Source organism: Homo sapiens, chromosome 10 (genome assembly GCF_000001405.40).
Source record: "Homo sapiens chromosome 10, GRCh38.p14 Primary Assembly".
Classification (NCBI taxonomy): Eukaryota; Metazoa; Chordata; class Mammalia; order Primates; family Hominidae; genus Homo; species Homo sapiens.
Window position 1 is genome coordinate 131,164,301 of NC_000010.11, and position 12,961 is coordinate 131,177,261.

At 49.9% G+C, this 12,961-nt stretch overlaps 1 protein-coding gene across 2 annotated transcripts in view, besides 1 other annotated feature; it reads right to left on the reverse strand.

The window, feature by feature from the left end:
• TCERG1L (transcription elongation regulator 1 like) overlaps nucleotides 1-12,961 on the reverse strand; it is a 219,331-nt gene that overhangs the window by 71,910 nt on the left and 134,460 nt on the right. The window contains exons 5-6 of one of the 2 annotated variants that reach the window (XM_047424966.1): nucleotides 2,497-2,585; nucleotides 1,482-1,520 (exon numbers count right to left, since the gene is read on the reverse strand). In XM_047424966.1, the coding sequence (XP_047280922.1) occupies nucleotides 1,482-1,520; nucleotides 2,497-2,585 (128 nt within the window). The remainder of the gene's footprint in view (nucleotides 1-1,481; nucleotides 1,521-2,496; nucleotides 2,586-12,961) is intronic. The other variant, NM_174937.4, reaches the window with a different exon arrangement.
• Nucleotides 3,006-3,506: an enhancer, noted in NCBI's record as "H3K4me1 hESC enhancer chr10:132965569-132966069 (GRCh37/hg19 assembly coordinates)". NCBI's record gives its function as "activates a minimal SCP1, AML or CMV promoter by ChIP-STARR-seq in primed H9 embryonic stem cells {active_cell/tissue: H9 hESC(primed)}" and the evidence as "EXISTENCE:reporter gene assay evidence [ECO:0000049][PMID:30033119]".

The window sequence follows — 12,961 nt, forward strand, 5'->3', positions numbered from 1 at the left end:
AAAATATGGCCCATCACAATTCTAACATAAACAGAGGCCCACAATTCAGATGAACTCCTTTAGCCATATGGATGTATGACAGACCGCAGGTCTTTGTTCAGTCAGTACTGAGCCGAAATAACCAAATTCTTACCAGTAGAACCATATATCACAAAGAGAAATAAAAAAATCAGGAAGTATCACCAGAATTTTGGAAGGCTACAAGGAAGAAATAAATTCACATGAAGTAGCATGAGAAACTTTTTTCTTTCTTCCTCTTCCAGCTGTTTCCATGGTTTTAATCTCAAACTTAGAATGCTCTGAGAGATTATGTTCTCTCTCTGGGAAAATTAGGTGGGATTAAAAATACCAGTGCCTTATTCAAAGCAACAATCTGGTTCTGAGCTGAGAATGGCAGGTGCAATTAGAATACTCAATTCATTAAAAAAATTGAAAGTCATCCTAAAATTTTAGAATCTCTGTTTCTACCATCGTTGATGTTGGTACTTTAGGAGGCAGTGGAGGTGGGAAGATGATTAACCATTCGACCACCAAAACTAAATGAAGTCAATGCTCCAAAGTCCTCGTGGGGAGCCGCCAGCGCAACATCAGCCATGCACAGGAGGCTGGGGATGCTGTACCAAAACCCAGCACATGTGGGTCCCTGAGGGCTGCGCTGGGCCAGGCCCATCTGCACTGTGTCAGCTGCTTTCAAACAGGGTGCTTAGGAAGGAAAGTGCTAAATTACAGAGGCACAGAAGCATGAGATTAGAACAAAAATTAAAAGAATCTCGCGTGTCTGTAAGAGACAATGGTGAGATAAAGCTCAACCAAGTAAGTCTGTCTAATGTGGCTATTTGGCAGAACCATGGAAAACAGAGTGAAGCTGCGTCTTGGTGACCGAGTTATCCAGAGTGAGTGGCCCATGTTGAGAGATGCCAGCCCAGAGGGAAGGACAAGAAACACAGAGATTAAAGCACTCAGCCAGAAGCATCTCGCACAGTCTCCAGCGTGAGGGTGAACCTGGGAAGGGCATCTTCTCGAACATCATGCAAGGGACTACCAGGAAGGAAGGGGTGGTCTCTTTACGTATGTTCATCCTGACATTTTGGTATTTTACACATGATTTGTAATGTATATTATAACATTATCTTTAAGTTTGTAAGTTTACGAATAAAATTTTTACAGGTTTTCTAGTAATAGGAAATATCTTTGTTTCTTGTGAGAAAATAAGGTCAGGATAAATAATTGGCATAACAGAGCATTCAGAAACACTTGTCTCAAAAAATATATATTAAGACTAGAGCTTATATTAGCAATCCAGTTAGAAAAACTAGGGGGGACTTTCATTATGAAGTTCATTGAACAATAGAAACTCAACAAGAAGTCTCTGAGTGGTAGATTACCTCAGCCAATTATTCAAGCAAATAGAGTAGGATGTAATTTGTGATGGGGACTAATGTTTAAATTTGGCAAGGCTGGGGTTCTCTACTGCTACTTACCGAGGTCTTCTCCACGAGATGCATGCTGGTTATGATTTCCTGTTGGTGATAAAAACGGCTAATCATGGTATAAAACTCTTGTTCCACGTTGAAGTCATAAAAGTGAATTAGACTCGAAGAACCATGTGATGAAGAAAGGAGTTATTTAAGGCACTAGAAAGGCTATCTGTGTAATTAATATGTCATTCTGGCCTGGATGTTAATCTGGAAAAATTGGGAAAATCATATCTCAGGGGGCAAAAGTTTAATTTGCTCTATTTGTGATCAATTTTCACCACTGAACACCTGCACTGATGATTCAGGAGGAGACGTGAACAACAGGGTGACTACACCCTGACAGAACTCAGAGGAGAGACGGAAGCAAAACCAGGGAGAACAGAAAGCTCGCAGTGTGGCTTTAGGCAGAGAAATACCTTGGAAAGGTGAAGTAAGAGATAATGTTGACAAATAACTGAGTCCCACCAGCGTCTTCAGTGTATTTGACAGATGAGAGCAAATTAAGCGTGATTTGTGATTTTGAAATGCAGTAATAAAAAGGACTCCCTTGGGTTATTGAGAGGAAGGACTGTACTATTGAAAACACGAAATGCTTCAAATGCACTGTCTTGGCCAGTCTTTAAAACGCCATTTGGCAAGCCAGTGAAGAGAAAGACCTGAAATTAGAATGAGTGTGTTGGCTCTTCTTTCCTCTTGCCTAAGTGGTGTCTGAGTTTGACTACCTTGTGTGTCTTCTCTTCCTTCTGAAAATGGACAAAGTTCAAATGGAAGCCAAATCCCTTCCCAACAGAGTCCCCCAGGGAGCTTCAGACCCAGATCTGGCAGGACCAGCAAGGGCTGTGTCCCTGCTCTCTAGGCCCCGCCTGGCCCCTTCAGTGCCAGGTCCTGCTGCTTCACACAGCAGATGGCAGTCATTTCACAAACACCATACAGCAAACAAGCGTGAGGGTGTCCTGGCCCTGGTCCTCCACACCCAGGGTTTTGTGTCTTTAACACACACACGAGCCCCGAAACTGACCTTGTCTTCTTTGTCTCCATCCCGGCTCTTCTGGGCCCGCAGCATCAGGGCAGGAGGGCGGGCCACTCGGCCCCGCTCTGTCCTTGTATCTGTTGGGCCAAAGCAGTTGTCATTAACATTTCATTTGTCACAGTAGTTTGGAAAACCTAAGCAATCAAAGACAAAAAGTGGCCCTGAAGATTAGAATTGGTCAGTAGACACTGTGCATTCCACAGAAAGGTGGCATTGCCCTGTCCTTGGGTTGAAGTCTAGTGACAAAGTTCTCATCCCAAAGCGAGGATGCACCTGACAATGGGTTTGCAGGGGCCAGAGGCCTGGGCACACACATGCACCTCTGGACTCCCCAGCCCGACCTCCCGGCATCCCTCTCCTGTGCCTGTGTGTGCAGGCAGTGTTCACTCCACCCTGGACTCAGCCTCTTGGACAAGCAGGAAACAAGCCCAAAAGTGGGAGGCCCGAGACTTGGCTGTTGTCCATCTGGTGACAATCACCAGGGTGAGGCTGTGACAACCCTCACACTCGCAGCCCAGTGGGCCCAGGGTGGGAGTGCTGTGCCCAGGTGTGTGGATGTCTTGGGGCTGCTCTCTCGCATTGTGGGGCCCCCAGTGCGCTGGGCAGTCAGGAGCCTCCTCCAGTGATGCCAACCTGCGCCCTGGACTCCATCTATGCCCAGGCTGGGTGCCATCTAAAACACTGTTGGCCAAGCCTTGTGAACTGGGCCACGTGGGTCACAGATGAATAGGACACAGGACCTTCCCAAGAAGGACAAAGGGCCAGTGTAGGACAACAGAACCAGCCTTGCTGAGGTTCTGCCAGCTGGTGGCCATGATGGGCTGCCCTTGGTCCTGGCCCTGCCAAGGGGACAGGAGGGGCTATGTGCAGGCCACACCGCCAGTGACCGTGGCTTACTGGCCGCCATGGTGGGCCCTGGTTTTTCCAGGGGGCCGGACCCACAGCACTTGGAAAGGTGCTTGTTTCAGGGGAGGAAGGGATTCTGCAAATTCCCAAAGATTGTTACTTTTTTGTCTTCTCCAAAAATGTCTATCTAACTCTCAAAATTTTGCAAGTAGATTCAGGGAAAAACAGTAAAGCAAGGTTGAGCTCTGTTTTAATACCAAGAATAAAAAGAAGGACCCAAACCATCTAACCACACACCAACCTAAAACAATAGATAAGTTCTCAAAGGAAAGCCCTGGCCAGGTCTCATGGGTGTGCAGGGCAGGACCCTTGGGAAGCAGAGATTTGTTTAGCTTGATCCAGAGCTCAAGACTGGGCAGTGCAGTCAGGGAGGCCTGGGTATGCTCCTTCCTGGTAGACGGAAGGATGGGGAATTAACGTAAATCACTTTATACGTGTGTGCACACAACACACAGGTGCGTATATGCACACACACACATAGAAAGGATGTCCTCTGGCCCCTTCAAGCTACACGTCTGTGCTTGAAGGGGGTGAAAGGCAAGACTGGGGGTCCCACTGGCACACCCCACCTTCTAGCCTTTCTTCCTTGCCCCACTGCAAACTGGGGCCCCTCTGCAGCTCCGGGAAGGAGATTTGCATAGCTCTGCATGGGGCCAGCTGTCATGTCCTCCGTGGGCATTGGCACCTGTCTGGCTTGCGGCTGCAGAGCCAGGTGGTCTGCAAGGCATCCCTCCCCAGCACCCTTGGGAGGAAGCCCCTCATTTGAGTTGGGTCAATCAGCAAATTTATTTCAGGTGCGGAGCAGCAACACTAAGGCAGCCCAGACGTGAGCCGGAGGCCCCATCCCCGGAGGTGCTGAGTTCGGATGAGGCAGAAACACAGCATTCCACCCCTGACTCCCCTCCATCCAGTGAGCGGGTGGAGGAATGCCCAGCCTGTCCACCTCTTTCACTCTGCACAGCGCCCTGCCGGGCAGGCTCTCCCCAGGGCTGGGTGGCTGGTCTGCCCTTAGTGCCGGCTGCTGGCAAATAGGCTGAGCAGGGATCCCTGAGGGCGCCGGCCTCCTCCGTCATTGCCACTTTACGAGGGTGTCCACACAGAGTCTACACTGCACACTCTTCCTTCACAAGAGGCCTGCCAAGGCCGACCACAGGGCTCCCATACAGCCATGACCACCCCAAGAGACGCCCTCAGGCCTGACAGCTGCGTGCACAGGTCTATTTCAAGGTTGGCCTTGGGGAAGGGACTATCGGCTTTTCACTGAACCAGGTAACCAAGCCTGAGTCAAGAAAAGATTTCAGGACAGTGGAAATATTTTACTGTCACTCAGGAAGAGAAGCAGAGTCCCTGGATTGCATTAAGATTTCCGGAACTCTGTTAAGAATTACTCCCAGAGCCCATTCTTGTCAAGGTGCAGCGGTCATCAAGCAGCCTGGACACCGGGTCTCTGTCCTGATCCTGCAGGGTCGTCCTGTCCCCACCCCATCTCTGCCTCCTCATCTACAAGATGGGATTAGCTGGTCACTACCTCTATGCCACAGAAAGGGGCAAGCAGATGGGGACACAGCCATGCCCTGGGGAACCCTCATTAAAAAACCCAGGGCTCTGTCCCTCTGCCTCCATCCTGCAGACACCAGAAGCAGCCCCCTGACTGAGGCACAAGGGGGCACACAAAGGAAGCTGAGCCCACCGTTCCCCTGCCCTCACAGACCCAACGCAAAGCAGGCCCAAGCGATGGGACGAGGGAAGTTAAACTTGGTGATTCAATGACCCAGCACTCCACATATTTCACGACTGCTCTGAGACCTATTTTTTGACTGGATATGAGTGGATGGCTTTTTACTACCTAAGAATGAGCCAAAAGTGAATTGGTTTAAATTTTATCTAAAGTACAGCAAAGAGCAAGTCCCAGGGAGGAAGTCTGGAGGGGTCGTGCACGGAAAGCTGAGGTTGTGTTTTAATTATATGCCACACACTCTATGTTTTCAATATGGCAGGTGCCTATAAAACACACAGCAATCTCAGTAGCAGAAATGCACGTCTGTATCTTCTACGAGCATGTAAATAAATACACATTGTGAAAAACTGTGTTAGGAACACTGGCAGCCTGCGAGGAGGCCGTAAGCCCATAATACTGTTCTCAAATGACAGCATTGCCTAGTTTACTCCCCATTACCTTGAGAAAACATATTAAGATATTTTTCATATTGAAAACAGTTGATCTTGTAAAAAATCAGATCTTAAAGTCTGGCTTTTGAGATAAACGGATTTACATTGTTCCTCATGAGTGCTTCTTAGAGGAGATATTGTTGATGATCATTTTAAAGCCCCCAGTCACAGACACACACCCCGGAATACCTGCGACAAATGTTTGTGCCTTGCCCTAAATAGTTTTCTTAATAACCGGCACTCTTTCACAGTCATTGATTTTGCAGGTACCTTGGAGGTGTGTGGGTGGCACCAGGGGCTCACACACATAATTGGGTCTGCGTGTCAGCCATTCCACCGTGGAAGTGCTTATTCTACGGCTCTCCGGGGGCCACTTCCAGGGTCCACTCTGACATGCTTAAGTACTCTTTGCTTTGGGCCTCTCCACAAACTCTGATGATGTTGTCATAAACTCCTCCCTTGAGTGGCAGACAGAACTAGTTTATGGAGGAAAATCAACAAGTGTAAGACCATGGGCGCTAAAGTACTTCGGGGAGCATGCAATGTATTTCCGCCCTCCGAGAGAGGCACGGCGGTAATACCTTTCTGGGCAATGCCTCTATTGATCAAACCCAGCTCTGAGATGTGAAGTGCTCCCCAGCTCCCCAGTGCCCTTCAATGTAATTTTCCTCCTGGCAGTGATGAGAGACAAAGAGAACTGAGAAGGTCGCATGAAGTCTGGAAGGAAGCAAAAAAGCCTGTGCTAAAAACTCCCACGCCAGTCAGCTGACAAGCATTTATTCACTGCTCTTATAGAGTCCAGCACGACCGTCCTTGCTGGTGGGGAAGAAGTGAGAGGAAGTACTGTGAGCAATTAGACACTCCTCTCCTCCTCTCTCAAAGGGCCGCAGGGACTGGGGAGGGCATCCAGGGGAAAAGTATTCAACACCAGCCTCTTGAAGTCAAACCGGGCAACAAAATATCTCTTTAAGAAAAGTGTGGCGGCCGGGCGCCGTGGCTCACACCTATAATCCCAGCACTTTGGGAGGCCGAGGTGGGCGGATCACGAGGTCAAGAGTTCAAGACCAGCCTGGCCAAGATGGTGAAACCCTGTCTCTACTAAAAATACAAAAATTAGCTGGGCATGGTGGTGTATGCCTGTAATCCCAGCTACTCAGGAAGCTGAAGCAGAGAATTGCTTGAACCTGGGAGGCGGAGGTTGCAGTGAGCTGAGATCACGCCACTGCATTCCAGCCTGGGTGACAGAGCGAGGCTCCATCTCAAACAAAAACAAAAACAAAAACAAAAACACACACCAAAAAAAAGAAGAAAGAAAAAAAGAAAGAAAAGTGTGGAAAGAAAAACTGTCCTATCTCCTGGGCAAGTCTTAGCTTCAGAAACTCTTGGAACTCAGCAATCAATTCGCCCTGTTTCCCTGAAAGAAGGGGGAGGTGGGTTTGCTTGTGCCTGACCCGGGGTCAGGGTCCTGGAAGCTTTTCCGTATTGCGCTTCTCAGTCATTAATCCAGGCCCGAGGCACCTGTTCTCCTAGAGTGCCTGGAAGGTGAAGACTCAAAGGTATCATCATCACCTGGGGTCAGGCCTCAGCTCAAAGGCAGCACCAGGATGCGGGTCCAGTTGATGGCATATGCCATGTAGTCATCACACACCCTAAGACCAGCAAATGCTTCTTACATTGAATGAAGTATCAGGAATTTATTTATTTATTTATTTAGAGACAGGGTCTCACTCTGTCATCCAGGCTGGAGTGGGTTCACTGCAACCTTCAAGTGATTCTCCTGTCCTTCAAGTGATTCTCCCGTCTCAGCCTCCCGAGCAGCTGAGATTACAGGCATGCGCCACCACACCTGGCTCATTTTTGTATTTTTAGTAGAGATAGGGTTTCACCATGTTGGCCAGGCTGGTGTCGAACTCCTGACCTCAGGTGATCCTCCTGCCTCGGCCTCCCAAAGTGCTGGGATTACAGGCGTGAGCCACTGCGCCTGGCCCAGGAATTTATTTTAACATTCAAAAGAGTTTGTTTCTTTAAAAATTATTAAAATAAAGAACTACTCTAGGAAGTCAAAAGTGTCTAACTCATCAAAAAGTTATTAGAAATATATCAGTATCTCCCAATGCAAAAAGTAATTCTGAAAGTCAGTCCAATTTTAATTCCATAAATATTGACCTCCTTTGACCTCAGTTTCCTCATCCATAAAAGAAACTGTCTTGATTCTCTTCCAGTTCTGGGATTCCAAGTGTCAACATGATATCTGGAAGCGTGTGGAGTAAATCCCAAAGGAACTGGAGTTGCAGCCCTCACCATGAGGCTGTAAGAACATGCGTCTTCTGGTTTCCTGCCCGGGGAGGAGGGGAACCCGGGGAAGTGAATGGACCCCACGGGGGAGGAGGGGAACCCGGGGAAGTGAATGGACCCCACGGGGGAGGAGGGGAACCCAGGGAAGTGAATGGGCCCCAAGGAACAGGGAGAGAGAATTTCACCTTTCTATTCTGAAAGCCGAGAGCAACCGCTCATGCATTTGAAACCAACCTCCTCTGATGATCTTGGAACTAGGCAGGAAATCTCTTAGGCTGAGGAGGGCGTTGACTCACAGATGGTCTCCACCACCCCTGAGGCTGGAGGAAACTGGGAGGGCTTGGAGTTCTCGATTGTTGTAGACTACAGCCATTATGAAAAGGGTTCATGAGGAGCATCCATATCACGCGTGCTCCACGCGCGCTGGCTCCGCTCGCAGCTGGGAGCAGACCCTGAGACCAGCTCACGCGAGCCTTGCTTGGTTGGACATGCACGCCTGTCCAGTCGCCTCCATTCTTGGGGAGAACACCCAGGCCTGTGCCAGCCATGATGGTGGTAGGGTGGCAGGAGCCAACCGGGAGTCACTGGAGCCCTGTTTCTGTGTTTGTCACAATCTAGTGACCCCATTTCCATATATGAATGGTTTCACATCCAAGAGCATATAAGGTCTCATCCACTTGCAGAATTGTTGTAGAGAGAATAATCAATGATTTTTTTTTTTTTTTTTTGAGATGGAGTTTTGCTCTTGTCATCCAGGCTTGGAGTACAATGGCAAGATCTTGGCTCACTGCAACTTCTGCCTCCTGGGTTCAATTGATTATCTTGCCTCGGCCTCCCGAGTAGCTGAGATTACAGGGGCCCGCCACCACGCCCAGCTAATTTTTGTATTTTTAGTAGAGATGGGGTTTCACCATGTTGGCAAGGCTGGTCTCGAACTCCTGACCTCAGGTGATCCACCCGCCTCAGCCTCCCAAAGTGCTGGGATTACAGGTGTGAGCCACCCCACCCGGCCTGAATGATATTTTAATCTTGCCTACTGCCTCCCTGGAAGCACCCTTCTGAAATAATTTCCAAGATGCTGAGATAAAGTAGGCACACTGATCTCATTTAACAACTGAGAAAAGCAGACTAGGTGAGCATTTTCTAGATTATAAAGTAACCCAGTAGGGAGGGCACAAATTATCCGTCAATTTAACCGGTACTGAGCTCCTTTGAAAAATTTGATAATAAAATAAGGGGAAAATGCAATTTATGGCTAAGGTAATAAAAATAACACAGTCAGGGCCCGTTGTATATGGTCCTGAATGAGGCGTGGTGACTGCATTGATTTTCCGAGTCAGCCTCTTCAATGAGAACCAAAGTATCTAAGGGAACCCTGCCCCTGGGAAGGTGCCTGCGTGCCATCTTCATGCTGAGTGTCAGATTCACAAGAGTTGCCAGCCCCGGCGCAAGGCGGAAGCAGGAGAGACATAGATTTCAGGGGTTAAAAACAAGAGAAGCCCAGGGGCCTGAGGGGCTCTTGAATGGAAGGGGTGCCATGTAGTGCAGGGAAGGTTGGTGGCAGCTGGGAGCAGAGAGGCACGGCCTGGAGGTGCCTCCCTAAATGCCCTTCTCCAGGGCCTGCCCCTCTACACAGAACCTGGCACAGTGTCCTCCAGATGATGTCAGGAAAGCCAAATCCCGCTGGTGAGGAGCTGGTGAAAGGGGAGACTGTGCAGCTACCTGGACAGTCTCCCCCTGTCCAGAGCTCCCCCTGGCAGCTCAGGACTGGGAAGGAGGGAGGAGGGTGTGGGACCAAACCCCTCAAGAAGCCCCTCCCCCAGCAGGGCTTTTGACTGCTACCGGAGGGGATGGAGTCGGAGTGGCAGGTGCTCCCTAGGGGTCCGGAAGAGCCAGGGTCCTCTGGTCCATCCCCACATCTCACCACAGGATGTACAGGTGGTGGCCTTGCTCCCCTTAGTGTCTGCTGCACAGACCTGCTGACCTGCCTGGAATATGAGGCCACAGTCAGATGCCTGCTGCCGCCTCAGGAGGACAGCACTGGGGGCTGCCAGCACTGGGGCAGGAGGGTGGTGGCACCTCTGACAGAGCACCACACCCCAGCACACAGGACAAGCCCAGCATCACGCCCGGCCGCACAGGCTGAAACCCCACAGTGGGGCCGTTTCCCTGGGAGCCTCCTTGAAGCTGGCGCAGGTCTTCCTGGGCCCTGCTCAGTAGGCCAGGAGGACGCCAGCTGGCTGGGCTGCTGTGCGGTTGGAGAGGGCTCAGGTCAGCCAGGGCTCCAGAGGTCCCCTGGTCGGGGCTGGGCTGCAGGCAGGGCCCACCGCTGCAGCTCCGCCCGCCTCTCCCTCTCACCCGCCCGTTCCCCAGCAAAGCCTGGTTCCTGAGATCCCACAGCACCTCGTTGAACTCCACTATAAATGGAGATAATTTTCATATAAACAGCAAATCATTTCTGAGTCCTCCTAAATTTTTCATGGGTAGTGATTTCAGAGTTGACAAGCTGCAGAGAATTAATTTTCCACCCATTTTTAACATCCTGAATTGCCCCTTGCAAGAACAAAGGGTTGTAAAATGCTCAGACCAGAGAACCAGAGCGTGGCTTCCTCCACAAGAAGGGGTCTCAGTACCGAGAGGCAACTCCACCTTTTAACAGGACTCAGCCCGATCATGAGAATTTGCCTCATCATGGGACTCCACCCCTGCAACCTGAACTCACCCTGTTACCTGAACCCACCCCTCTAATAGGACCTCAACCCTGCAGCCTGAACCCACCCCAATAATGGGACCCCACCCCCGCAATTGGTCTCTGTCCTCCATCCCCAGCCAGAGTCCAGATTTTCTCTGTGGGTCTGTCTGACCAGCAGATCTGTTTGACCAGCAAGAGAATCTGGTGTCACGGCTAGACAGAATGGCCTGCGGAGGTGGTGGGACATTTTCACCAGCGTGATCCAGGGCCTGGGGCACTCTGCTTCTCTGATGAAGGCAGGCTTCTGACAGAGGCCAGCTCCAGGTTGGAGATGCAGGAAGTGCTGCACCCAGCAGAGTGAGCTTTGGGATCCGAGGGTAAAAGGAGTGGAGATGACGGCACCAGCAACCTGGTTGTCAGCAAAGGCAGTGAGGAGAGCCCAGTGCCTGCCTCACCCGGTGCGGCACGCTTGCACGGAGGCATGCCTGCAGGGTGGCATATCAGGGCCTATGGGGAAAACCATCTTCAATGCTCTGTCCCTCCAAGAGAGCTATTCCCAAGTCACCTGGGCACTGCAGCCCACCGCAGGGGCAGGCTTGTCCCACTGGGTCCAGAGGAAGCTGACACCCGAGCACCAGCTCTGCCCCAGGAGGGAGCCACAGAGCCAGTTCCCTGCCCACCTCTGACCTCAATACACGTGTGTTTAATGAGTAAATGAATGAGCTGATGGTGAGTCCCACGCAATTCACAAATTACGCTCAAAGTTCTCATCTTTATCCAAAGTAGGGATGTTAAAAGCAAAAGAGACATATTAAACCAGACAATTTCTATAAGAAAAGAAATAAAAATTCCAAGCACTCTTGTGTCAGGTACATAGTGAGCCAAGTAGGACTTTACCCCAACCTTGGACCAAGAAAAGAAGAGATGGCTAGATGGAGGAGGAGGAGAAGGTGGAGGTTGGGACAGAGACAGAAACGAAGACAGGGATTGAGATAGAGGTGCAGACAGGAAGCGGGGAGGAAGGCAGTAGAGATTCATGTGAACTTGTAGCCATCATTTAAAACATTTTCCTGAAACTTTTTTTCAAAGCTTAAATCCATTTCACAGTACCAGGCTGAGTTATTTAAGCAACGCCCACCTTTCAAGGCAGTGCGAAAAATACAGCTGCCGACAGACGGAGAGCTTCAGTCTGTCGCTTCGTCGAGCCCTCCGGGTGCTAGAGCAAGCACCCAGCAGTGGGTGTCCCTCCAAATGGGTTGTCACGAAAGTCACAGCTGGGCTCAAGACTGCTGTTACTTTGGGTGCCTGAGCTGGACCAGGGCCTCTGGTGCCCATCCGAGAGGCCAATGCTGCACACACAGATACCCGTGCACACACACAGAGACGGATGCACACACAGACACGTGTACACACACCAAGAAACATGCACACACAGAGACACATGCACACAGAGACACGTGTACACCCACAGAGATAGGCACATACAAAGAGGCACATGCACACACACCAAAACACATGCACACACACCATGACATGTGCACATACACCAAGACACATGTACACACAGAGATACGTGTACACACACCAAGAAACATGCACACACAGACACGTGTACACACACCAAGAAACATGCACACACAGAGACACATGCACACACAAACACGTGTACACCCACAGAGATAGGCACATACAAAGAGGCACGTGCACACACACCAAAACACATGCACACACACAGAGACACGTGCACACACCATGACATGTGCACATACACCAAGACACATGTACACACAGAGATACATGTACACACACCAAGAAACATGCACACACAGACACGTGTACACCCACAGAGATAGGCACATACAAAGAGGCACGTGCACACACACCAAAACACATACACCAAGACACATGGACACACAGAGATACACGTACATACACAGAGACACATGCACACACAGACACGTGTACACACAGGCACATAGGAACACACAGAGACACGTGCACACACACCAAAACACATGCACACACAGACACATTCACACACCAAGATACATGCACACAGACACGTGAACACACACCAAGACACGTGTACACACAGAGACACATGAACACACACCAAGACAGGTGTACACACAGACACATGCACACACAGATACGTGTATACAGACACATGCACACACACAGACGTATACACACACAGACACATACACACACACGTACTCACAGACACATGCACACACAGACACGTGTACACACAGAGATATGCACACACACAGACACGTGTACACACAGAGACACATGGACACACACAGACATGCACACACAAAGACACATGCAGACACAAGCACACATATATGAAGACACACACATGTACACTACACACACACAGGCACA